The following is a 27,297-nucleotide window of genomic DNA, read 5'->3' as shown; positions in this document are numbered from 1 at the left end:
GCAGAAATAACTAATATACAAGGGAGAAAATGCCAGGATCTGTGTCTGGCGATGGGTGGCATATAGTAAAAGGGCCATTTGGATTAATGGGTATAAATTTACGGTTAGATAGAAGAAATAAGACCTAGTGTGGTTTGTCTCGTCTCGGCGGTGGACTTTCAGCTCCTTGAGCGGAGCGACCTCTTCTGTTTTTTTGGCAGGTGGGAATACTTAAATCTCTATTTTGATGCACAATTAAAAATAAAAAATTGCCAAAACAGTGGTCGAAAATTGTACTATACTATATTTTACATGCTTACACTTCACAAATTAATGCTCGTAAAACACCCGCTCTCCACCCTCCTCGCCCTTAGCCCGGCTCGCTGCACGCCCCGAGGCCCAGCACTTGCTGGCGGGTGGGAGGAGGGGCTTCGCCGATGTCCCCGTCCCAGGGGCAGGGCCTGGCCGAAGTTACAGTCCCTCCGGGTGGCGGGGCGCCCCGAGCGTGGCAGCGCGCTAGGCGGCAGCAGCGGGCGCGGAGCGGGGCGCGGCCGCCGCGCGTTCCCTCTTGGCGGGGTTGGCCGGCCGGGGCGGGGCGCGGCGCTCCGGCTCGAGGCATTCGGAGCTGCGGGAGCCGGGCTGGCAGGAGCAGGATGGCGGCGGCGGCGGCTGCAGGCGAGGCGCGCCGGGTGCTGGTGTACGGCGGCAGGGGCGCTCTGGGTTCTCGATGCGTGCAGGCTTTTCGGGCCCGCAACTGGGTAATGCTGCGGGCTGGGGCTGCTGGGTCTCCGCGGGGGTGGCCGGGGGCTTTCGTGTGGAACCCGGCGGGGGGCAGTCTAGAGGAAGGTGGGGGCCCCTGTGCACCCCCTGACTCGTGTTGCTTGCACGTGCGCGCACAGGTCTACGCGTCTATTCCTGTTTCCGAGTGCGTGCGCACGCCAGTCCCAGGGCGCTGGGCCTTTGCTGTGCAAGGAGGTGCTCCGTGGGCCTCCGCCAGACCCAAAAAGTCCGGCGTGACTCGGGAGAGAATTCCAAAGGGGAGGAACGGGAGCAGGGGTGAGAGGACGGAGAGAGAGTGTAGAAGGAAGGCTCTAGAATGAGACAGCCCAGTCCCGGTTACTAGTCATGAGACCGCGTATTGATTACCTAACGCCGTAGGACCTCGGTTTCCCCATTTGTACAACGGAGATTCTGACAGTGAGAGTTGGGACGATTAGATGAGATAATTGGTGTCGTTGCACATAAATTACCTGACGCCTGGTAAAAACTGTTTAAATGCTGTCTATTAATGTTACTATTACTACCCACCCCTGTTCTTTTAGCCCCATTGGATCTGACAGTTTGAAGGCTCAGCACGGAAAAACGCTGACGGCTTCTTTGCTCTGCAAAGACTATTTCAACTACTTTGCATAGTCAGGTGTCAATTTCCAGGAGGCGGCAAGTCGGAGCAGAGCTGATACATGGCCAAAGACCCTTGACCTCAGCCGCTCAGCAGGCCTCAGCAATTTCCCGGTGGAGACACTGCCAGCGGCAGCGTTCTGGGAGCTTAGTTAGCAGCAGCAGCACAGCAGCCTGGGCAAGAGTTCCCCTGGGACCAGAAAAAGGCTTTCAGGATTTTCTTTAAAAAAAAACTATCTAATTTTTATAGATGAAGGGGGCAAAAGTACAGTTTAGTTACATGGATATGTTGTGTAGTGGTGAAGTCTGGGCTTTTAGTGTAACCATCACCCAAATAGTGTACATTTACCAAGGTTTTCTTGTTGCTCAGAATCTGGTACAGGAATATGCTTCTGAAGAATTCAGTCACACCACTCCCTTCCTGCCACCCATCTGCTCAGTGCTTGGGGACACTGATGAGGGCGCTTTCCCAGGTCTTCAGAGATGCATGGTGGTGACAGAGGCAGCACTTCTGCCAAGGGCCAGGCACTGTGTTCCCAGTACCAGAGTTCCCATAGACTCTTAATGCCCCCAATATCTTTAAGGCAGTAGATCCTGTTAGCGTCATGTGTTAGAGGGTGAAGGCTGTGCTTTCTCCTGGTGGTGGCACTTTGGTTTACCTTGGTCTTGGCAGAATCTGGAGAGCTGATTTACCTCTGGCTCTTGGTCTTTCCCCTCCGAGCTTCTTCCTGCCATCTTAGGGAGGGCTAGGATGATGGAGACTTTTCATTGTTTCAGTATCCCCCATGGGATAACAAGTTAATTAATAATATAACAAATGTTGATGAATAGATGCTGTGTTTACAGCTTAAGGTAGAGATAATTATCTCTGGGGACTTCAGACCAAGAGACCCTGAGTAAGGACTGAACATCCCCTGTGCCAGGAGCTTTAGCATCTTCCATTTCATTTAATTCTTACACTGACCCTGTTAATCATCAACAAACAACCTCTTTTGTTGGGAACCTCTGCCCGGCATCGGAGTGAGAAAGCCACTCTGGCAGAGCTGGGATTCAAACCTGATCTGTCTGATTTCCAATCCTAAAGTCCATCCCTCTCTGCTGCAGGACAGGGATCCTTTGTGAGCTGAATCTGGTCTGCCACCTGTTTTTGTACAGCCCAAGAGTTAAGAATAGTTTTACATTTTCAGGTGGTTGAAAAGAAAATCAAATGAAGAATTATATTTTGTTGTATATGAAAATTAATGAAATTCACATTTCAGCTCTGAAGATTTATTGGAACACAGCTGCACTTATTTTTTCCCCCTATTTATTGCTGTGTTCTGTTACAATTGCAGATTTGAGTAACAACAGATACCATATGGCCAGCAAAGCCTAAGGTAATTGTGATCTGGCCCTTTACAGAAAATTTGCTGGCCCTTGATGTCTCTAGAAGTGCAGGGTTTGTGTTTTAGAGGTGAATGTGGAGGCGGAGTAGAGTGTTTGGAGGTAGGAGGGCCTGGGATGGAGCCCAATATAGGGTGTGTTTTCATTGAAGCCTCTTACCTGTCTCCACTCTGCTCCTTTATTTTTCTTTCTTTTTCTTTTTCTTTTATTTAAATGGAGATAAGGCCTCCTTCTGTTGCCTAGCCCGGAGTACAGTGGTGCGATCATAGCTCACTGAGCTCAAGTGATCCTCTCGCCTCAACCTCCCGGGTAGCTGGGGCTACAGGCATGTGCCACCACACCTGACTAATTTTAAAATTTTTTTGTAGGGACTGGGTCTTGCTATGTTGCCCAGGCTGGTCTCAAACTCTTGGCCTCAAGAGATCCTCCCACATTGGCTCCCAAAGTGCTGGCATTACAGACGTGAACCACTACACCTGGCCAACTCCCCTCATTTCTATGTGTGACTCTTTCATGGAATAACAACTCACTGCCTCTTAACCAAAGCTGTTTTCTCCTTCCAGTGGGTTGCCAGCGTTGATGTGGTGGAGAATGAAGAGGCCAGCGCTAGCATCATTGTTAAAATGACAGACTCGTTCACTGAGCAGGCTGACCAGGTAGTTTCAAAAAGGCCCCCAAACATTGTGAGGGGAACCCTGGGGAGAGGTGACCACTGGCTGTATGTTCTTCCTTTGGCTGTATGTTCTTCCTTTTATTTCTTTTTTTCCCCGAGACGGAGTCTTGCTCTGTCGCCCAGGCTGGAGTGCAGTGGCATGATCTCCGTTCACTGCAACCTTTGCCTCCTGGGTTGAAGCAATTCTCCTGCCTCAGCCTCCTGAGTAGCTGGGATTACAGGTGCCTGCCACCACCCCCAGCTAATTTTTTGTATTTTCAGTAGAGACGGGGTTTCACCATGTTGGCCAGGCTGATCTTGAACTCCTGACCTTGTGATCCGCCCGCCTTAGCCTCCCAAAGTGCTCGGATTACAGGCATGAGCCACCGCGCCTGGCCTGTTCTTCCTTTTTTTTAAAGCTGTTGTTTCTCTAACTAGGAAAGCCATTTGTGTTCATTGAGGAAAATTTGGAAAAAGTGAAAAATGATACAAAGATAAATTATATAATCATTTTGAGTTAGTTCACTGTTAACATTTTGGCCTATTGTCTTTTTCTATGCATATTGTATGTTACTCCTTTTACAAGTTTAGGTAATTTTGTATTTTATAGTTTATGGTAAGCTTTGTTTTTTTTTTTTTTTATACTTAAATAATTCTCCAGATTACTGAAAAAACCTCTTTGTAGATGTGTGATATTCCATTTTATGGAATGGCCACAATTTATTTAGTTTGTTTATTGTACATTTGAGTTTTTTGCAGGATTTTTGTTTTACTATTGTCAAGAATGTTGTGATGAACGTCTTTGTCTACATATCTGATTATTATTGTTTTTTGTTTTAAGAGAGTCTTGCTCTACTGTTGACACTGGAGTGCAGTGGCACAATCTCAGCTCACTGCCACCTCTGCCTCCCGGATTCAAACAATTCTTGTGCCTCAGTCTCCTGAGTAGCTGGGATTACAGGCATGCACCCCAATGCCCAGCTAACTTTTTTGTATTTTTAGTAGAGACAGGTTTTTGCCATGTTGGCCAGGCTGGTCTCGAACTTCTGACCTCAAGTTATCCACCCACCTTGGCCTCCCAAAGTAATGGGATTATAGGAATGAGCCACTGCACCTGGCCCACATATCTGATTATTTAGGATACATTCTAAAAAGTGGAGTTACCCAGTTCACAGCAGGAACACTAACAAAACAGGTTATTTTTAATTATAAAATGATATGCATATTATAAAACAAAAGTCCAACAAAACTACGTAAATATAGAAATAAACTGTGAAACTGTCCCTTTTCTCCCCATCATAGTATCATTTCCCAGAAGGATGCACTATTAACAGTTTGATGGATATCCTGGTATAAATATCTTAGATGCTCTAGGCTGGGTGCAGTGGCTGACACCTGTAATCCCAGCACTTTGGAAGGCTGAGATGGGCGGATCACGAGGTCAGGAGATCAAGACCATCCTGGCCAACATGGTGAAACCCCGTCTCTACTAAAAATACAAAAATTAGCTGAGCGTGGTGGTGCACGCCTGTAGTCCCAGCTACTCGGGAGGCTGAGGCAGGAGAATCACTTGAACCTGGGAGGCAGAGGTTGCAGTGAGCCAAGATTGTGCCACTGCACTCCATCCTGGGTGACAGAGTGAGACTCTGTCTCAAAACAAAAAAAAAAAAAAGAAAGAAAAATCTTTGATGCTCTTAAGCAGTGCTTAACTTTCTTGAGAAGCCCTTCTGGTGAGCTGCCTGGATGACTTTTGAGTCAGGTTCTCACTGTGTTGCCCAGGCTGGACTGGAACTCCTGGGCTCAAAGGATCCTTCTGCTTCATTCTCCCGAATAGCTGGGACTTCCTGAGTAGCCACTGTGCGCAGCTGACTCTGTGTTTAATGGTTTTTAGTGCTGTAGCCCACATTCCCAAGGATAACTTCACATCACTATGTGAAGCGCCTTATTTTCCCAACCACTCAGTGTGGCAGGCAGGCAGGCCATTTTACAGCTGTGAAGACAAGTTTGCGCGACTAAGTGACAAGGCCAACAAGCTACTCAGTGGTGGAGTCAGGATCATAGGTCTCCAGATACGAACTTTAATAAGTTCAGGTGCCACTTGGTCTGTACGTGGGTCTGCTTTTCATTTAGTTGCACTTTCCTTGGTAATCTCAATACTGATGTTTTATGATCCTTATCTGGTTTTTATAACAAATTTTTAAAATTTTAGAAGTGATGCATGTATGATATAGAAAATACAAATAAGCAAAAAGAAAAGGGAAATCATTTATAGTTCTACCATATAGTTAATCATTTATTTATATTTCCTTCCAGTCTGTCTCTCCAAAATATACATGTATAAATCTATACATTTTGAACATAAAACTGTGAGCACAACTCTGCTACTCATTTGCTCTTTCTAAAGTGTCAGTTTGACATAGATTGGAATGTAAAAGCCAGATGACTTATTTTAGCACTTCATTTTTGTTGTTCTTATTTTTCTCACTGTGGTCTCAATGTTCCCATACCTAAGTCATACAGATTGACCTTAGTGAATTTAATAGTGAAAGTTGACATGGCATCATTGTTAGTTGCCAGGCACCATTCTCAGTGCTTTATTTTCATTAACACGTGTAGTCTTCATTACATCCCCAAACAAAGCTTCTAATTTTATCCTCCTTTTAAATGGGGGTAACTGAGGCACAGAAAGGCCCTGGTATTTGTCCAAGGTCAAACAGATAAAAGGTTGCATAGCCACTATTTGGACATGGGCAGTGGGGGTCTGACGGCTGTTCTCTTAACTGCTATGCTAAGCTGCCTTAAAGCAAAATAGTTTCATGTGAATAAAGTAATAAAGGCCAAAATGGCTGGGTGCAGTGGCTCATGCCAGTAGTCCCAGCACTTCAGGAGGCTGAGGCAGGAGGATCACTTGAGCCCAGGAGTTTAAGACCAGCCTGTGCAACATGGCGAAACCCCATCTCTACAAAAAAATACAAAAATTAGCTGAATGTGGTGGCACACAACTGTAGTCCCAGCTACTCGGGAGGCTGAGGTGGGAGGGTGGCTTGAGGCTGGAAGGCAGAGGTTGCAATGAGCCGAGATCATGCCACTGCACTCCAATCTGGGCAACAGAGCCCAACCTTCTCTAAAAAACAAACAAAAAATAAAGTAATAAAAGCCAAAACTAAATGGAAGGGCGGTTCCTGGGCTTGGAGAGCAGCAGCCCTGCCAGGTGCGGGTCTCTGTAATTGGTGTCTCTTCAGTGTCTCTTCTGCTCTGATTAATTATAGGTTTCTAATGTCCCTGTAGATTGAATGTGGAGGTTGTCCCCACCCAAGGCTTGGCAGTAGAGTGCATCTCTAAGACAGAGATTGAGAGATGCGTTTGTGCTTATAAACTTTTCTTTGAAAATCTCTTCCTTCTTCTACTACTCCACCAAAGGAAGAGGAGTACCTTCTCCACCATACCCCCAACCTTAAGAATTTCTGAACAAACAGCATAACATTCAGTTTTGTCATGAAACTGGGGAAAGAGGTAATCAACTGAAATGTTCCTACTGGGAGAGACACAGGGTGTTGATTTAAGTCTTTTTTAAAAAAAACTAAATGTAGAGATGAGGTCTTGTTATGTTGCCCGGGCTGGTCTTGAACTCCTGGGCTCAAGTGATCCTTCTGCCTCTGCCTCCCAAAGTGCTGGGACTACTGGCATGAGCCACTGTGCCCAGCCTGATTTAAATCTTAAGAAGATTGGGCCAGGCGTGGTAGCTCAGTCCTGTTGTCCCAGCACTCTGAGAGGCCGAGGCAGGCGAATCACCTGAGGTCAGGAGTTCGAGACAAGCCTGGCCAACATGGCGAAACCCCATCTCTACTAAAAATACAAAAATTAGCTAGGTGTGGTGGCAGGCGCCTGTAATCCCGGCTACTCAGGAAGCTGAGGCAGGAGATTCGCTTGAACCGGGGAGGTGGAGGTTGCAGTGAGCCGAGATGGCGCCATCGCACTCCAGCCTGGGAGACAAGCGAAACTCCATCTCAAAAAAAAAAAAAAAAAAAAAAGAAATCTTAAGAAGATTGATCTTAATGAAGCAATTGGGATTTGTCATCTCAGCCATTCCAGAGAAATACGGAAGAGTCGTGGTGGATGGCCAGAATTGCCTGTCCTGACAGACTGTTCTTTTCATAAATTATAACAAGAGGGCATACATATATTTTCAATGCTTTAAAATCTCAAACAAACAGAAGCAGAGAGATCATTAAAGTGAACCCCCATGTACTTAATATTACCAACATATTGCTATTGACTGTATTTTTTCTTGGCTCATGATTTTTCTTACAATTTTTCGTTGGCATTTTTTTCAGAGTTGCAGTTAAAGGGATTTTTGGATTGGGGTGGGGAAAACAGGGTTGATCTTCTTTTTGGATTATAATTCTGTGATTTGTGAAGAGAGTCTGGAAAGAAATACACCAGGATGTTAACTATGTGCAGGCAGTGAAGCTCTAGGTGCTTTTTTCTTTTTTTTTTAACCTTTCCCTACTTTTATTTATTAATTGTTGTATTTCAAGGGATGCTCATGTCTCTACCTTTCAGAATGTATACACAGAGACTCTAGATTGTTTTTTAAAAATCACACTGAAGTGTACTTGGGCTTCAATGTCTAAAATGCTCATCAGAGCTTAGTCTTCCGTCTAATTCTCAAAGCATTAATTGCCAGGTACTGTAAACTGGCTTAAAAAGAAGAGAAAAAGAAACTGAGTATCCGTAAAGATGCTAGCCTGTGTTGGCTTACCTTACAGTTTATACATTTTTTTGTTCTTGTGTTGAAGGTGACTGCTGAGGTTGGAAAGCTCTTGGGTGAAGAGAAGGTGGATGCAATTCTTTGCGTTGCTGGAGGATGGGCCGGGGGCAATGCCAAATCCAAGTGTGAGTCCTTTCCTGAGTCACTCATTTGTTCTGCTCTGCTCTTTTTCCAGCTGACAAGGATTGGGTTTGCACTAGGTGACAGGCCAGCTGTTTTTTTGTGTATATCCCGGAATCTTTACAGTTGCTCGGGGAGAGAGTGATTAATGCTCTTAATCCATTTTACGGATAAAGAAGAAGCTTCCCCTGGAGGACGTGAGGGGACGGGGGGCATTGAGTTTGAGTTTAAAGTAGAGGCAGAATGAAATCAGCATGGCCTGTGCCCCAGGCCATGTGCTATTCAGGCATTGGAGGATGTGTAGGAAGTGCAGAGATCATTTAGAAAGTCAGAAGAAGTCAAACTTGAGATTTTACTAAAGCTGATTCCTTTTTTCATCTTTTCTTTTCCCTTCCCTTCCCTCCCCTCCCCTCTACTCCCCTACCCTTTTTCTTAAGACAGAGTCTTGCTCTGTCACCAGGCTGGAGTGCAATGGTGTAATCTCGGCTCACTGCAACCTCTGCCTCCCAGGTTCAAGCGATTCTCCTGCCTCAGCCTCCCGAGTAGCTGATATTACAGGTGCCCACCACCAAGCCCAGCTAATTTTTTGTATTTTTAGTAGAGACGGGGTTTCACCATGTTGCCCAGGCTGGTCTTGAACTCCTGACCTCAGGTGATCCACCCCCTTCAGCCTCCCAAAGTGCTGGGGTTACGGGCGTGAGCCAGTGCGCCTGGCCCATTTTTCAACTTTTCATTATGAACATTTCTAAGCATACCAGAAAAGTTGAAAGAACAGTTCAATGAACACCCTTATATGCTCCATCTAGATTCAGTAACTGTTAACATTTGCTGTACTTGAGTTGAGCTTGTTTTCTTGTGCCTGTGTACTTTGTGCATTGTTTTTTGTTAACTGTTTGAAAATAAGTTTACACCTCACTATATTTCCGCGTGTTTCTCCAAAGAATAAGCCCGTCCTACATTATTATGGTACCATTGTACCTAAGAAAGTTAACAGTGATTATCTAAGATTAATGATATTGAGCCCATATTCAAATTTCCCCAGTTTATTCCATGTCTATTATAGTTCTTTTTCCCTAAACATATTCCACTCAAGGTTTATGTACTGCATTATGTTGTTTTTAGTCTCTTAATCTAGAAAATCTAGAATTTTTAAAAAAATCCCCTGTGATAAGACTTTTTGTCAAGTCCTTGGGAGTTTTCATATAGCATGTCTCACATTCTGAACTTGTCTGAACTTTTCTTTAAGGGGTTGTTTGACTTGTTCCTCTATCCTTGGTATTCCCCGTGAACTGGAATTTGGGTCTAGAGACTCAGTTAGATTTAGCATAAACATTCTTGTGGTGCGAATTCTTCCTGAGTGATGGTGTGTACCTTATATGACATCACCTGGGAAGCTCAGCATGGCAGCTTGCCCTACCCTTAGGGATGCCAAATTTGATGCTTGGTTGAGATGGCAACTGCCAGACTTCCATTATAAAGGTACTTTTTTTCTGTTTGCAGTAAGTCAGTCATCTGTGGGATGTGTGGTATTGTGGTATTGTGTGTGAATGTCCTGTTTCCCAAGTATTATACTTTTCACCCAGTGGTTTTAGTCCTTCGTTGATAATCTCTGCCTGAAGCACTTATTCAGGGGTTGGAAAATGGTAGTTTTCTAATTCTGTCATCCCTTCTACATTTATTAGCCAAAGCCATTTAAAAAGACGTTGACATTCTGTGACCCACATGTCAATGTGAGAGTGGTGCTTTGTGAGGTGATCAGGTTAGCAAAACAGCTTGATAACCTTTTTGTATGTTTTGGGAGCAAGAAATGATAAATGTGGATCCATCAGGTTTTTTTCCTAGTCTTTTTTAGTGGGGAAATGCAATTTCTTGTTTATCACCTACCAACCCCTCCTATATCAGGAGGACATCCTTTTTTGATCACCAGGTACCACATGCCCTTCGAGTTGCCCAGTTGGTGGTGTGACATATGTTACCATTTGTTCTTCCTTATGTCTCTGGCAAGGCCGGGGAGTTAAAACAAGTGTAAAATGGTTGTTATTTTAGCTTTCTTTTGAAGAGTCTTTAAAGCTAACATTAAACTTTCAGACATAAAATATGTAGCTCAGTAAAAGCTCTCTTTATAGCTGTACAGTAATAGGCCCTTGGATTTTTATCACAGAGAAAACCTGACGTAGACATATAGGTTCTTATTACAAATCTGATACCATTCATAAAATAAAACAATCTTTGAATTAAAGCCAGTCCAGCAAATCAGTAAACTCCAGGTTTATTTTGTAAAATTTATTGGCCAACATTTTGCCAGTGTATAGGTAAGGAAGCTGAACCTCAGGCAATCCCATGGCCTGGATTTGAACCTGTGTCTCTGACCACTGAGCCCTGTGCTGTTTGTGTTAGACCTTGCTGTAGATAGGGACCTGGGGACCAGGAGGGAGGGCCTCCCTGAGTGTGGGGCTGCATGAGTTGAGCTCACCTTTTGGTTTCTTTCCTGGGAATGCTGAGCCCACATGTTTTTTTCACTCAGCTCTCTTTAAGAACTGTGACCTGATGTGGAAGCAGAGCATATGGACATCGACCATCTCCAGCCATCTGGCTACCAAGCATCTCAAGGAAGGAGGCCTCCTGACCTTGGCTGGCGCAAAGGCTGCCCTGGATGGGACTCCTGGTAAGCCTTTATTTCCCTATCTGTGGAGTGGGGTTGCTTACCTTGCTTGCTGGGGCTGCTGGGCACTTTCATGGGATGAGGACTGTTAAAGCCTTTACCCTCTAAGCTGCTTAACAGATAGATGGATTTTGTCTTCTTTTGGGCCTGAATCATTTTAGGGAGAAGAGTTCTGATCTTTTGTTTGCCTGTCCTTATGTTTATGGTGGTGGTAAGGAACGCTATGATCTGGTAACCCCCATTTAGTTTATTTATCTGTGATCTACACTGGAATGAATGGTTTAGTGGATATTAATTAATTAATAAACATGGATTATTATTATCACATTGAATCCATGTGTTCCAGGGAAGCAGCTTAGCAGCTGGAAATAGCATAAGTTTAAAATGAGAGAGGTTCATTTGGCCAGCACAGTGGCTCACACGTGTAATCCCAGCACTTTTGGGAGGCTGAAGCAGGAGGATTGCTTGAGCCCAGGAGTTCAAGACCAGCCTGGGCAACATAGTGAGACCCTATCTCTACATTAGAAAACAAAAAGAGAGTGAGAGGGTTGGGGGTGGATTCTTTATCCTAGATGTGTGACCCTGAACCAGTTCTTCAGTCTCTGACCAGATGTCTACTGTAGTTTCCTTAATTGTAAAATAGTGACAGTGACATCTAACTTGAAGAGTACTGTAAAACTGTAGAGGTGTAGCTATGTAGAAAGTGCACATGGTAGGCACCCATAAATGGCAAGTCTTACTGTTATTCACAATAAATGGTAGGTCTTATAGTCACTCTTTTCATTTCACATATATTCTCACTTTAATCTCATCAATATTATCTTTTTCAGTTTACAGGTTAGGAAACTAAAACTTGGAGAGTTAAGTAACTTGTCTGGGTTTGTGCAGGAAGTAAGTTGCAGACTTACTTGAACCAAAACCCTAATCATCTACCAACTGTGTATTTTTTCCATTATGTCATTTCTTTTGCATTTTTTATGACCTGTATTAGTTTGTTTGGGTAGCCACAGACTGGGTGGCCTAAACAACAGAGATTTATTTTCTCATAACTCTGGAGGCTAAAAGTCTGGAGATCAAGGTATCTGCAGGGCTGGCTCCTTCTGAATCCTCTTTTTTTATAGATGGCTGCCTTCTCCTTTTGTCTGCATGTGGTCTTCCCTCTGTGTGTCTGTCCTCGTTTCCTCCTCTTCTAAGGAAACCAGGCATATTGGACTAGGGCCCATCTCAATGGGCTCATTTTAACTTTGTTGCCTCTTTAAAGATCTTCGAATACAGTCCCATTCTGAGGTACTGGGAATTAGGACTTCAATATACGAATGTTGGGGGGATCTATTTCAGCCCATAACACTCCCTGTGGGATAGGGCTAAAGGAATTTAAGCAGGGGTAGAAAGGGGCAGCATAGGGAGGCAGAAAGTGTCTACCTCAACTACCTAAGTTGAACTCTTCTTTTAAAAAAATGGGAGCTTTTGGCCGGGTGCAGTGGCTCACACCTGTAATCCCAGAACTTTGGGAGGCCAAGGCGGGTGGATCATGAGGTGGAGATTGAGACCACCCTGGCTAACACGATGAAACCCTGTCCCTACTAAAAATACAAAAAATTAGCCAGGCGTGATGGTGGCTGAAGCAGGAGAATGGCGTGAACCCAGGAGGTGGAGCTTGCAGTGAGCCGAGATCGCGCCACTGCACTCCAGCCTGGGCAACAGAGCAAGACTCCCTCTCAAAAGAAAAAAAAAAAAGGTGGGGGGAGCTCTTTTTGACTCTCTTGTAAGTGGTAGAGACCTTGGGACCCTTCTCAGTTGTTTATTTTTTTAGAGACAGGGTCTCACCCAGGCTGGAATGTAGTGGTATGATCTAGCTCACTGTAGCTTGGAACTCCTGGGCTCAAGCAATCCTTTGCCTCGGCCTCCTGAGTAGCTGGGACTGCAGACACACACTGCCATGCCTGGCTAATTTTTGTATTTTTTGTAGAAGCAGGGTCTCGCTATGATGCCCAGGCTGGTCTCAAATTCCTGGCTTCAGGTGATGCTCCTGCCTTGGCCTCCCGGAGCACTGAGACTACTGGCATGAGCCACTACGCCAGGCCCCTTCTCAATTTTAATGTAACTCACTGAACTGTGAGGCTGTGACTACTAGCAATACCTTCCCTCTCATTTTCTTCTTCCATTTCTTAGAGCATGTGATGTTACAAGTCCATGGCTATAGCAATCATTAAAGCTGTGTAAATGTTAGCTGTCTGGTTGGTTGAGATCTGATTTTTATTTAAGATGACACGGAACAGAGGCAGTAGAAAGTAAACAGAGAAATGAGTCTTAGCTTGACATTTTAAAAAACAAAACCCTAGGACCAAAAGACTGATTTTTCTAAATGACAGAAGAGTCTCCTACTTTCCTTTGGTTTGCAGGTATCCTTTGATTACATTTTGGGTAGTGGTTAAGACTGCAGGCTCTGGAACTGTGCACGTTGGACTTCTCTTAAGGCTCTGCCACTTACTGTGACACGTTCGGCAAGTTACTTCGCCTTTCTGAGTCTGCGTTTTGTCATCTGTAAAATAAGATAAAATAGTGTCTCCTTTATATATATGGTGGTTGTACCTTGTAAATGTCTCAATGGATCTAAATGGATGAGAAAGGTATTACAGAGAGTCAATAGTAAGTGTGAGCCATTATTATTATTTACTCCAGGCTTATTTCTGCCCAGCTGTTCTGCCTCAGATGTTAATGAATTTGTTCATCTTTAACCTCTTAAGTTAGATTTTGTTAAGCTATTAATAATTTGAGTCATGAGATCTTTTAAGTATGCTGCAGACCTCAGAAAAATCTGGGGAAATAGATCTACAATTTGAAAGTAAATGATGAATCAGGCTTAGTAGTCCCTCAAACTCAAGAAGATTTGTTTGCACATCAGAAGTTTTTCACTTGGAAGGATACTGAGAAAACCTCACCCTCCTATTTCCAAGTTTGTATTTCTAGACTGTCTTCTGTAGGACAAACAGTATTAAAATGGTGTTCACTTTTGTTTACCATTAAAGGATCTGTGCTGTGATTGGAAATCAGTTTTGGGGGACCACACTGATCATTCAGTAATTTGGAAGTGTTGACCTTCTTAGTGAAATGTCTTTTTTTTCATATCTTGCAAATAACCCCTTTTGTGTCCCCAAGGAAAGGTCATTCTTTAGAATTAAGCCATTACGGTTGCTATTTGCTTGTTTCTTTCCTTTGTCAGAGTCCCTGCTCTTGTGTTGTGTTGTTCGAATGGAGTCAAGAGAGAGCTCTGGGATTTTGAGGACCAGGGCTGGGTTAATGAGCACTTATGCCCTGGTTTATTTTAATCACTGAAGAGTTTGTTATGCCCCCTGATTAAACAGAGAAGCTAAGGATGGCGAAATATTCTTCTTGTGCTTCCAAATAGCTCTTTGAGACCTTGACCCTCTTTTGCAATTTGAGGTAGTTGTTGAAGCAGTTTTGTGATTGGTCCCTTGGCTGGGCTGTCATCCCCCCACCTCCCGCTGGACTTGCGATGCCTCCACAGCAATTACATCTTAAACAGTGTGTGTGCCGAGGATTTTAGGGAGCCTGATGACCTCTAGAAGAAATAGTGGTTTTCAGAAGGTGGAGAAGTTTACAGTGACTCATCATTCCTTCTTGCTATCATTATTCTGTGATAGCAGCATTTAGTGAGCAGCTACAGTTGGGCACAGTGGGGGAACATAAAGAGGAAAGACTCCATTCCTGCCACATGCCTGCGGGGCAGAGGGAAACCTACCTTAATAAAAGACATCCCTTGCTTCTGTCAGCAAATATCCATCGAATAGTGGGAGGAAAGGAAGACCAATAGGTAGCAGGTATACACAATGTCAAAATTTGCTCAAATGGTACACCCTAAATGTGTTTAAGTTTATTGTGTTTCAGTTATACCTCAACAGACTTGGCGAAAAAGAAAGAAATATTTTTAGGCATCTGTCTTCTGGGTGCTTGGCTTGTTGGGCTAAGCTTGATCTTATTTCATCACCAGAGGTATCTGTAAAGTAGGTCCTATTATTTTCCCTTGATTATGGAGGAAAAAAAGTTCAGTGATTTTAGGTGCCTTGTCTAAGACAACCTAGCTAGTTAGTAGCAGATTGGTCTGAGTAATACATTGATCAGTAATTAATATATAATTATAATCAGTAATTATAGCAATTACTGATAATATAATTATATAGAGATAATATAATTATATTCAGAGCCTCCTCCGGCAGCAAGGGTGCGGGTGGTGTGAGTGTGAGACCGGGCTACATTACGGTCTAAGCGGAGTGCTCTTGGTGGGGGTGAGTCCACCTCTGAAAAGGTTTTGTTGAGGGAGCTGATTCAAACAGGGTCTTGGAAAAGGACTTGCTTTGACAAATAGAGCTTATGGGAAAAGACAAGGCACTGTATTAGTTTTTATTTAAATAATTTAATCAGTTTTTAAATTGGAAAACTAACCAATGCATGTAGTAAAAATTCACATGGCACTAAAAGAAACACAATGAATAGGAAGACTCTCTCCTACTCACACCGCTGATCTCTATGGCACTCCCTCCCAGGCCCAACTACAGTGATGGCTTCTCAGGTGTCCTTTGGGAAGCATTCTGTGCCCATTCTAGTGTGTGCCCATGTCACATTCACATACTTTTTAAAAAGCACCATAATTTGGCAGGGCGCGATGGCTCATGCCTGTAATCCCAGCACTTTGGGAGGCCACAGCGGGTGGTTCACCTGAGTTCGAGACCAGCCTGGCCAACATGGTCAAACCCCATCTCTACTAAAAAATACAAAAATAACCAGCTGTTGTGGCAGTCACCTGTAATCCCAGCTACTCAGGAGGCTGAGGCAGGAGAATCGCTTGAACCTGGGAGGCGGTGGTTGCAGTGAGCCGAGATTGCGCCACTGCACTCCAGTCTGGGTGACAGAGTGAGACTCTGTCTCCAAACAAACAAAAAAAGAGGCTGAGGTGGGAGGATTGCTTGAGCCCTGGAGGTGAAGGATGCAGTGAGCTGAGATTGCACCATTGCACTCTAGCCTGGGCAACAGAGTAAGCTTGTCTCAAAAAAAAAAAAAGAAAAGCACCATAATTTGATGACTCGATAGAGGCTTTTCCATGCCTTATTCTTTTCACTTCATCATAGATTAAATAATTTAAAAGTTAGTTTGTCTGGAATATTGAGAAACTCACGAGTTACTGAGAATCACCTACCATAGTTTTAATGAACAGAGCTACCAGTTTGTTCTTTTTTTTTTTTTTTTTTTTTTTTTTTTTTGAGACAGTTTTGCCCTTATTGCCCAGGCTGGAGTGCAATGGCGCAATCTTGGCTCACCGCAACGTCTGACTCCTGGTTCAAGCAATTCTGCTGCCTCAGCCTCTGGAGCAGCTGGGATTACAGGCATGCATCACCACCCCCAGCTAACTTTGTATTTTTAGTAGAGACGGAGTTTCCCCACGTTGGTCAGGCTGGTCTTGAACTTCTGACCTCAGGTGATCCACCTGCCTTGGCCTCCCAAAGTGCTGGGATTACAGGCGTGAGCCACCGCACCTGGCCCCAGTTTGTTTTTTCATTCCCACAGTTTTTGAGTGGCCACCATTTGATTAAGCCCCATTATCCTCCTTTGAGAAACCCACCTATTGCTCTTTTCTGAAAGCAGTGAATAAAGTATTTATTTATTTATTTATTTATTTATTTTCCTTTTTTTTGGAGATATGGTCTGGCTCTGTCACCCAGGCTGGAGTGCAGTGGCGTGATCTTGGCTCACTGCAGCCTCGACCTCCCGGGGGCTCCAGCCGTCTTTCCACCTCAGCCTACCGGGTAGCTGAGACTACAGGCGCTCGCCATCACACCTGGCTAATTTCTGTATTTTTTGTGGAGACAGGGTTTCACCATGTTGCCCAGGCTGGTTTCAAACTCCTGGGCTCAAGAGATCCACTTGCCGCAGCCTCCCAAAGTGCTAGGATTACAAGCCTGAACTACCTCACCTGGCCAAATAAAGTATTTATTGATTGCCACCTTTTGGTTTGGGATACATTGGTGAACAAAACAATAAAAATCCCTGCCTCTGTGGAACTTACATTCTTCTGGGAATGAAAGAGCCCTTTCGAGTTTATGAGATGTGTCACGTTTCATGTCGTTTTCAGGAAAGCCTATTTAGCTTAGCATTGGATCCCATTTAGCAGGGAAGAACCAGAGGCTGAAAGAGCTGCTCGCCCAAGTCACAGTGGTGAGGAATCACCTGGGTTCCAACCCCTGGCCTCGAAGTCCAGATTCTGGGTTCTTTCTGGTGTGCTGTGCCGTTCCTGGGAGCCAGGGAGCTGCCTTGTGCTTCTTCGTCTTTCTAACACTGAGCCTAGGGATTCCCACATAGAAGAGGCTCCATGACATGGGGTGGGGTAAGTGGGTTTTGATGCCCGGGAGCAGGCAGACCCTGGCAGCCCCTTTCCAGGCTCTGGCTTTACAGGCAGCAGAGTGATGGCAGGTTGGTTTGATGGTGTTAAGGCCAGAGTTGTCACCATCCCCGTCATGCCACAGTCCTTCCACTGCTGATAAGGAAGGAAATGCCCCGGATGGGCCGCAGATGACTGCTTGATCTGGAGAGGAATCATCTATGATAATATGAATAATGATGAGCTGGGAGAGTGGGAGAAGCATCACCCCCTCCCTGCCGCAGTCACTGGGAGAACATCTCCCTGGCAAGGTGCTGAGCAAAGCCCCTCCTACACCAGGCTGGGCTCCCTCCGCCCTGATCGGGTTCTGTGCGTGCCCTCCATGGTTTCCAAGGCCCTTGTTGGATGCAGTCTCCTTCCATCCTCAGCAGAGCCTTGTGAATAAATTGTGATCTGAGTTACCACTCCCACTGACAGATGGAAAAGCAGGCCCACAGAACCTGTGATTTTTTTTGGTGGCTGGAAAAACAGGAGTTAGGGCTGCACTTTTTGAATTCCAAGTTGATGACCCTTTTTGCAATTCCTTATTGCTGTCCGAGGAAAAAGAGTTGCCAGTGACCTGCTGAGAGTCATGAATGACAATAATGGCCAGGATTGAGTGTTCCTCTGTGCTCAGTACTGTACAAAGGGGATTTGTTAACCTGGAAAAAAAACAATCAATGGAGTTTTATTACTTGACATAATTAAGGAGGATGCTGGAAGTATTCTCCAAAGCAGCGTCTCTCCCAGGAGGGTTTCATGGGGTGATGGAGAGGGGAAAGGGTGTGTCATTGCATGTGGAGGAGGGGTCCCAGTGGCACAGATGCAGTGAGTCATCACGCCAGCACATAGTCACATGTTCTGGTGATGAAGCTGTAGCTCCTCCCGGGTGGAGACTGTAGCATGGTAATGAGGAAAGTCCACTTGGGATCATCTCTATAAGTTGCTGGTTTCACCTGACTTGGTGACTGCATTCCATGCAAGTTGTGGGAAAAACCAGGCTGAAGGGCAGGAGCCTGTGAAACAGGCTGATTGTTCAAGCTGATGAAACTCCTATAGTCCTTGGAGACCCTCCCTGTCTGCTACACTTGTACATGGTATTTTATTTGATTGTTGTATTATCCTTAGGATTTGGGATTGTCATTCCCATTTCACGAAATGGGAAACTGAGGATTCCAAGGTTTAGTAGCCTCTCCCAGTGTCAGTCACTAGCAAGCAGCAGAGCCTGGACACGAAGCCAGGTAGTCGGGTTCCAGGGCACATTACTTCTATTGATTTGATGGGAAACCTTCATTGAGTGCCTGTCCTGTGCTAAGGGTATGCTCACAATTAAGTACTCTATTCCTGTGTGTCGTTATGAGCCCCTCTGGATCACACCTGAGTTTATACTGATAAGGTGATTAGTAGGTTGGGGCCCCTAGACAGCCTCAGGATGGAGCTACTTCTTAGAATGACCAAGCAATTAGGAGGTTAGAACTTTCAGCTCCACCTACCGACCTCCTGGAAGGAAGCAGGGGCTGGAGATTAAGCTCTATAAAAACTTACAGATGTGATAAGCATCTGGGTTGAACACATGGAGGGCACTGGGAGGGTGGCGTGGCTGGAGCAGGCGTGGAAGTTCCATGCCCACCCCCTCTCCTACCCTGCCTCTGTGTCATTCCACCTGGCTGTTCCTGAGTTGTATCCTTTATAATAAACCAGTAACTATAAAAAAAGCGTTTGCCTGAGTTCTTCGAGCCATTCTAGCAAATTATTGCACCTGAAGAGGGGGTTGTGCAAACCCCTGATTAAGCTTGTTGGTCAGAAGTCTAAGTGGCCCAGGACTTGTGACTGCCATCTGAAGTAGGGTAGGTCTTGTGAGACTGAGCCCTTAAATCAGACGGGAGTACAGTGACGTGATCATAGCTAATTGCAGCCTTGACCTCCCCCAGGCTCAAGTGAACCTCCCACCTCAGCCTCCCGAGTAGCCGGGACCACAGGCATGTACCAGCAGGCATGGCTAATTTTTGTAGAGATGGGGTCCCACTACGTTGCCCAGGATGGTCTTGGAACTCTTGGGCTCAAGGGATTCTCCTGCCTCAGCCTCCCAAAGTGCTGGGATTAAAGGCACGAGGCACCACACCTAGCTGGGAGTTCTAATTGAATTGTCAGACACCCAGTTGGTGTCTGGAGACTTAGAGAATTGACTGTGTTAGAAAACACCTCAAACCCATTTTACAGATGCAGCAACTGAGGATTAGAGAGGTTTTGGGAACTTTCCCAGAATTTATTTAGTGGTAAGTGGAGGAACTGGGATTTGAATGTGTGTAATTTGACTTTAAGTCCTATACTCCAAGTGACTGCTTGATTTTGCTGTCCCATTGAGTACCTCTGTGTGCCAGGTGCTCACAAGCATTTAGTGATCAAAAGGTTCAGAACCCATTTCTTGCCTGGGCTTTAACCTCTCCATCAGCTTTGGCACAAGTCTGTGTGTGAGCCTGGCATGTACTCAACCTGTCTTGAGTCTTGGTTTCCTAAGAATAAAAATAAGATCAACCTTCTGGCTTTTGTAATAAATGTTAAGTGTTAGATGAATAGTAAGTACACCTGAAATGTCATGTCTCCTCCACTTTTCTCTCCATAAATGTTCATTTATCTTTTCTTCCTGGCCTCTTCTGGACCCTGGAATGCTGCAGCTTGGATGCACCGGTGGCCTGTGTGAAGCCTGTGTGTTCTTGGAAACTGGCCAGAGGCCATAATTCCCAACCCACGTGTTCCCATCCCCTCTTTCTCGTGGCTCTCTGCCATTTTTTGATGGGGGTTGGTGAGGGCGTCTGACCTGAAGGAGGAGGCCAGATGCAGCTATTTATAAAGTTTTTAGGGAATAGAGATCTCAAGAGAAGATTGCATGTCCTTGCTGTCCCCCTGGCCGCCAGTGGTCACTGAGCCATCTTCTCCCCATTTCCCAGGTATGATCGGGTACGGCATGGCCAAGGGTGCTGTTCACCAGCTCTGCCAGAGCCTGGCTGGGAAGAACAGCGGCATGCCGCCCGGGGCAGCCGCCATCGCTGTGCTCCCGTAAGTGCTTGGGGTTCCCTGGCTGCTGCCCACCTCTGCCCCACTGCTGCAGGTGACCGTTTGTCTGACTGTAGCTTTCCACAGGCGACCTGGGTGTGCTCTCACCTCTGGTTCTGAAACACACCAAAGTCTCTTAAGATACTTATTATCTTAATCTGTTTGAATTGCTCTAACAAAATACCTTAGACTGGGTGATTTATAAACAGCAGAAATGTATTGCTCACAGTTCTGGAGGCTGGGAAGTCCAAGATGAAGGCACCAGCAGATTTGGTGCCTGGCGAGGGCTCATTCCTCATAGATGGCGCCTTCTATATGTGCTCACACGGTGGAAGGGGCAAATGGGCTCCCTCCAGCTTCCTTTATAAGCATGCTAATCCCCTCCTAAAGGCCCCCACTTGTCTCCTGCAGACCCCACCTCTTAATACTATTATGTTGCAGTTTGTGTTTTGTATGTGAGTTTGAGGGGGATACATTCAGACCATAGCAATACTTCCAGTTTTGGGTTCTCCTGGGCTGTCCAGAATGTTTGATTGGCTGGTTGGATGGGTCTGTCTTTTTTGCCTCTTTTTTTCCTCTCCCTTTCTTTTCTCCCTTCATTTCTTCCTTTAAAATTAGACTACACATTTTACTTTTTTATATGTAGTTCTGTCTTTCAAGTCATTATATGGGGTATGTATGTGTGAGAGAGAGAGAATATGGGAAACTGTTGGAGGTGTTTCTGTTGGTCATCGGGGGACTGTCCCCCATCAGCTGTCCCAGGCAGAGGCAGCTGCTTTGGAGGGAGGCTACTCCTTCTCGCTGGAAGGCTTCCAGCACCAGCAGGCTTGCCTCTTGCCTGTGGTCCTATAAAGGGATGCTGAGACTGTAGGGACTGCACTGATTGACTTTCTGGTTCCCTTTTAGTTGTGAGGTTCTGTGATTCTGTGACATGATTCCCACAGCTGTTTTGAATGATTCGAATGATTCCTGAGGCCTTGATGTTCTTGGGAGATTCATGCATATCTGAATTCTATATTATTCTGCCAAAAATCTTAAGGTTTTGTGGAAAATAGCCACATATTTAAAATTTTAGTATTTTAGTATTCTCATATTTAAAGGCATATAACTATCTTAAATCCTTAGAAATGAGTGTGCTGCATGTTAGGGAGTGAATAAAGACACAGCAACAAAGCAGTTTAATTCAGTGAAGACTCTTTTTTAAAAAGGCAAAATGTGGCTCCTTCTGTTTTGTTCTTATCTGCCTAAGTGGTGAGCCACAGCGCACCTTATTGAATTATGCTCAGATCTGGCCTTTGCTAGCGGGGACAGCTTCCTGCTCTCTCTCTGCTTATCTTTCTGTCTGATCTTTCCATGTAAATAGCACCCTCAGTGCCAGAGGCTCTAGGTTGTCCTGCTGTATGTTTGCGTTTTCCTGGCCAAGGGGGACTGGGCACCTGTTGTTAGAAAGGAGCGACATGAATGACGTGCTTATCTGTGTCCATTGCAGGGTTACCCTGGATACCCCGATGAACAGGAAATCAATGCCTGAGGCTGACTTCAGCTCCTGGACACCCTTAGAATTCCTAGTTGAGTGAGTATTACAGACATGTCCATGACTGAGCAGCTTCCAGCCCCTATTCTCTGCCTGCTGTGGTCCAGAGGACAAGTCTGTGTTCCCTGAGATCGTCAATCCGGGTGGTCTTGGGAGGTCTCTGGGACTCTGAGGATGCATTGCACATCAGACGGAATCTCAGAGTAGCTGGACTTGGAGACAGGCAGCACAGTGGCAGAATGGGTAGTGCCGACATGAATCCTGGCTCGCTCCCTCACCACCGGCCATGCTGAGCACATTATTGACCTGCTGAGGCCTCAGTTTCCCCACCTGTATCATGAGGTCCATCATGCTTGTTAGGATTAAACGTGATAGTGTGCGGCAAGCACTCAACACAGTGTCTGGCCATAACAAGTGCTCAGTGATCCCCAGCTGCAGTTTGTGTCCTTACTGCTGTGATGAGGAGACTCCATGGGGGAGGGGGACACCACGTAGATGGCCTGGGGGCACATATCTGAATCTGTGTCAAGCCACAGACCCACAGAAAGTGCCCTTTAATTTCCGAAATCCTTTTTGCCCATTTGTGAATATGGGTGGCATTTGAACGCTCATGGGACAGAGAGCTGAATTCCTCTTTTGTGTTTGTTTAGGTATCAGTTCCTCAAGCCCCTCTAGTTAGTAAGCATGTGTTCATCGAGCACCCACTATGGGCCAGGTGCTGCCCTCGGCTCTGGGGTCACGGTGAGGACAAAGATGGGATCCCTGCCCACAGGGAGCAGGGGTGCCGAGAGGGTCAAGGTGACAGCCTGACCCAGTAGTGCCTCTGTGTAAACTGCTTTGACGACTGTTTATAAGAGATGTTTGTGAAGTTAGCAGTGTGCTTCTGGCCTGATGTCACAATCTCATTTAAATTAAATCGGGAGAAATTTGGGACTTGCGTTTTATGTTTGAAATGTGTACTTACAGAACACTTTTTATGTCCCAGTCACCATTCTAAGCACTTCATAACTCTTATTTAATGCTCATAGCAAACTCTGAGGGAGGAGCTGTCATTTTTATTTAAGGCTTAGAGACTTGGAGGGATGGCAGGGGCTAAGTCACTCGCCTAAGGTCACACAGCACAGCCGGGATCTGACACAAGTGGTGTGGCTGCAGAACCTATGGTCTTAACTGGTGTGCTGACAGTTATTTCTGTCTATGCCAGGAATCATGCTTCATGCTTGATTTGCAGGAAAAAAATTGAAGTTGTAGAGGAAATCAAGCTTTGAATTGTGTTTGTGTTTGAATTTCTTTTTAAAGGCCGACACTCCCACCACACTTGAGATACTGATCTAAGACCTACTCTAGATGGAACATCTGGGATCTTGTGTCTGAACTCGTGCTGAGCCACAGACCCACAGAGGACGGGCTGTCACAGGCCCCCTTTTGTTCTAGAGATCACATCCACCCATTTGTGGTATTTGAAAACTCTCAGAAAAGCTGGCATAAAGTTTGCTTTGAGATGTCTGTGAGCACATCCTTCCTCTACCATCCCTGGTTAGAATGGCGTTCTCACTCACCTATCCACGCTGCAGATGAGGGTGAAGAAGTAAAACCATTTAAAACATGCATCGCAGCAAACCAACATGGCACATGCATACCTGTGTAGCAAACCTGCACGCTGTGCACATGTAGCCTAGATCTTAAAGTATAAAAAAACAAAACAACAAAAAAACATGTGTAACCAACACACAAAACCCTACACAACCAAACGGCACTGGTCTCTTTCAGAGCCTTCCCTCACCAAGCCCTACCCTGTCCCCAGAGATGAGGCCATGACATGACAGTACTTTAGAGAGTTTTAGCAACGCTTTGTTTTTTGAGCCCATGTGCTCATATGAGCTTGTTCAAACCCCAGAGTAGGGGCCTGAATGACTGGACCTTTACACATCAGCGCTGGCCCAGAAGGTTACAGATTGGCACTGGGAGTCTCCCAGGAAGGAAATGCTGAGCACTTTTTAGTTAATGAAGGTCCGAAGTCTCAGCTGGTGAATTGTCAAAATGGATGATGTACTCAAATGTAAATGTTTTGTGTTAAAGAATTATCATCTACTTCTTGTTTCTTGTGAATTTCTTTTGCCCTTTTTCATTCCTGTCTTCTTAGAGGGTCTTTTTGACTGCTGCAAGTGGGGTCAGTTGCTCCTCTCCTCAGATTTGTGAAAGGCCCTGTTACTGTATTTAACATTTTATTGTAATAGTCTGTTTTTTTCTATCTCTTTTTCCATTGTTTGGTGCAGCTGTGGGTACTCTATAAATGTTTGATTAAAAAAATGCCAAATAAATGAATTGCATCTGTTTCTCTCATAAATTTATGAGAAGGTAATATAGCAAAGTATTGTGCATGTGTCTCTCTCTTTGAATGAACTAATTAAAATCTTTAAAAACAATTTTTTTTTTTTTTGAGACAGGGTCTCACTGGGTCACCCAGGCTGGAGTGCAGTGTCACGATCATGGCTTACCCTAGCCTTGATCTCCGGGGCTCAAGCAATCATCCCACCACAGCCTCCTGAGTAGCTGGGACTACAGGCATGTGCCATGCCCAGCTATTTTTTGTATTTTTTTAGAGGTAGGGTTTCACCCAGTTGCCCAGGCTGGTCTCAAAAACTCCTGGGCTCAAGTGATCCACCTGCCTCAGCCTCCCAAATTGCTGAGATTACAGGTGTGAGCCACCACGCCTGGCCAAATTAGAATCTTTTAAAATCACAAAAGAATTCCAACAATGTAGAAAAATACCAAAATGAAAGTTAAACTTATGCCAAATCCTGCCACTCAGAGATTAGAATGAGTACACCACTGAACTCACTGGGGGCCTGGGTATGTGTCCATCATGCCTACTGGCTTTTATTAATTTTTTATTATTTTTTGGAGATGGAATCTTGCCATTGTGTCCAGGCTGGCCTCAAACACCTGGGCTCAAGCGATCCGCCCGCCTTGGCATCTCAAAGTGCTGGGATCATAGGGGTGAGCCATAATGCCTGACCTTTAGTGGCTTTTATTTATTTATTTATTTATTATTTTTTGTGAGACGGAGTCTCATTGTGATGCCCAGGCTGGAGTGCAATGGTGCAACCTCGGCTTACCTCTGCTTCCCGGGTGCAAGTGATTCTACTTCCTCAGCCTCCTGAGTAGCTAGGATTACAGGCACGTGCTACCACGGCCAATTTTTGTATTTTTAGTAGAGATGGGGTTTCATCATATTGGCCAGGCTGGTCTCGAACTCCTGACCTCAAGCGATCTGCCCGCCTCGGCCTCCCAAAGTGCTGGGATCACAGGTGTGAGCCATGGCGCCCAGCCCTTAGTGGCTTTTAAACAGTCGCTGCTGTGCCACCCCTTCCCCCCACCCCACAAGCCGTCACTGTGAAGGTCAGCATGTGCCCAGATTTTTGCTTTGAGAATATAAAAAAAACTTTTATTTTCTGTTCCAGAACTTTCCATGACTGGATCACAGGGAAAAACCGACCGAGCTCAGGAAGCCTAATCCAGGTGGTAACCACAGAAGGAAGGACGGAACTCACCCCAGCATATTTTTAGGCCTCATCTCAGTGCCTATGAGGGGCCTGCCAGAAAAGTCACTAACCTGTCTCAGTGTGGCCTTGTCCAGCCTTGTGTTTTCTGTAACCCCTGTTTGTGGTACGAGATAATGAGTCCTATTTTTCTCTCACATAATATGCATTTGCTCTCCTAGGACAGTGTAATACATTTATGTGAAGTAAAGACATGCGAGACTGGTGGCCTGCAAATAGCATCCGTTGATCTGTGTTAACTGCATAGGGAGGGCTCTGCATAGCACCTGCTATAGCGGTGTCATGTTGGATCGCTTTTGTGACTGTTCATCTGTCCTTGACAGTGGCTGTCATCTTGACTACTTTGTTGATTTGTTGGTATTGGGGACATTTTAAAGGCTGAGTTATTTTTGAATGTCATGTTTATGTCATAGACGTAGTTTTCGCATCCTTGAATTAAACTGCCTTAACTCCTTTTGTGGTATAAGCAAAACTACATGGACTCTGTCCTGGTATCCTTTTCCTGTGTGGTTGCCCCGTGTCCTCTGGCCTAGGGTTAAGTGTGCAAGATAACTACTCGTGAGTATTCAGAATGTTGTTCCTAATAAATGCACTTGTTGTCTGTCTTCTTTAATCAAATCACATCTTATATACAGCAGTCAGAGATGAGTATACTAGAATCATGGATTGCTGGAGGTCTTTTAATCTGATGTTCTCAGAAGGGGGTGGATTTAAATCCTGAAATAAATATTTCAACACAAGAACACAGGCCTGATTCTGCCTTGGACATGTCAAAATCTGGGGGTGATGGGATGGCCCTGTGCATTTAGAAGCAGCTCTCCACATATGGCCAATGTAGGCTGTCCTGGTTGAGAACTAGTAGTGGTTTAATCCAACCCGATCATTTTACAGATGAGGAAACTGAGGCCCAGAGAGACATTACCTTGTTGCCAGTAACTGGCAGAGCTAAGCCCAGATCTCTAGTCACCAGACAGTTGCTGTTTTTAAAGGCCTTTACCACGTATTTTCTTTCTTTTTTTAGTGAGGTGAAATTCACATAATTTTTTTTTTTTTTTTTTGAGACAGAGTCTTACCCTGTCGCCCAGGCTGGAGTGCAGTGGCGCCATCTCGGTTCACTGCAAGCTCCGCCTCCTGGGTTCACACCATTCTCCTGCCTCAGCCTCCCGAGTAGCTGGGACTACAGGCGCCCACCACCACACCCGGCTAAGTTTTTTTGTATTTTTAGTAGAGACGGGGTTTCACCGTGTTAGCCAGGATGGTCTTGATCTCCTGACCTTGTGATCTGCCCACCTCGGCCTCCCAAAGTGCTGGGATTACAGGTGTGAACCACTGCACCCGGCCAAAATTAGCCATTTTAAGGCTAATTTTAAGTATTAAAAGTTAAGTAGGTGAGCAGTTCAGTGGCATTTAGCACATTTACAGTAGTGCATAATCACCACCTCTGTCTAGTTCCCAAACATTTCCATCACCCCAAAAGAAAAACCAGAGCTCTTTAAGCAGTTCCTCCCCATTCCTGCTCCCTAACCCCTGCAACCACCAATCTTCATTTTGTTTCTGTGAATTAATTCTGGGTATTACTATTTTTTTGAGACAGTCTTGCTCTTACCCAGGCTGAAGTACAGTGGCATGAACATGGCTCACTGCAGCCTCGATTTCCTGGGCTCAAGCAATCTTCCCACCTTGGCCTCTCGAGGAGCTGAGACTACAGGCACGTGCTGCCACACCCAGATATTTTTTAAAGTTTTTTG

The 27,297-nt window shown here is 45.2% G+C and overlaps 1 protein-coding gene across 3 annotated transcripts, besides 2 other annotated features; it reads left to right on the top strand.

Annotated features, from left to right (window-relative positions):
* Positions 389-968: a silencer, noted in NCBI's record as "silent region_15310". NCBI's record gives its function as "represses an Ori minimal core promoter by ATAC-STARR-seq in GM12878 lymphoblastoid cells {active_cell/tissue: GM12878}" and the evidence as "EXISTENCE:reporter gene assay evidence [ECO:0000049][PMID:35858748]".
* Positions 597-26,292, top strand: QDPR (quinoid dihydropteridine reductase). 3 transcript variants are annotated; one of them, NM_000320.3, is made up of 7 exons: positions 597-737; positions 3,324-3,416; positions 8,212-8,308; positions 10,828-10,968; positions 20,347-20,455; positions 21,942-22,025; positions 25,451-26,292. In NM_000320.3, the coding sequence occupies exons 1-7, from the start codon at positions 633-635 to the stop codon at positions 25,554-25,556; spliced, it is 735 nt and encodes a 244-aa protein (NP_000311.2). In that variant the 5' UTR covers positions 597-632; the 3' UTR covers positions 25,557-26,292. The 3 variants fall into 3 exon arrangements, 2 of the variants coding, with proteins under 2 accessions (NP_000311.2, NP_001293069.1); NR_156494.2 differs by lacking the exon at positions 20,347-20,455; NM_001306140.2 differs by lacking the exon at positions 3,324-3,416.
* Positions 18,187-18,481: an enhancer, noted in NCBI's record as "tiled region #11631; HepG2 Activating DNase matched - State 17:Gen3', and K562 Activating DNase unmatched - State 5:Enh". NCBI's record gives its function as "activates a minimal TATA promoter and a strong SV40 promoter by Sharpr-MPRA in HepG2 and K562 cells {active_cell/tissue: HepG2 | K562}" and the evidence as "EXISTENCE:reporter gene assay evidence [ECO:0000049][PMID:27701403]".

The sequence above is a fragment of the Homo sapiens genome, chromosome 4, assembly GCF_000001405.40.
Source record: "Homo sapiens chromosome 4, GRCh38.p14 Primary Assembly".
NCBI classification, from domain to species: Eukaryota; Metazoa; Chordata; class Mammalia; order Primates; family Hominidae; genus Homo; species Homo sapiens.
Note: the sequence above shows the minus strand (reverse complement) of the source record. Positions and strands in the feature narration are given on the sequence as shown.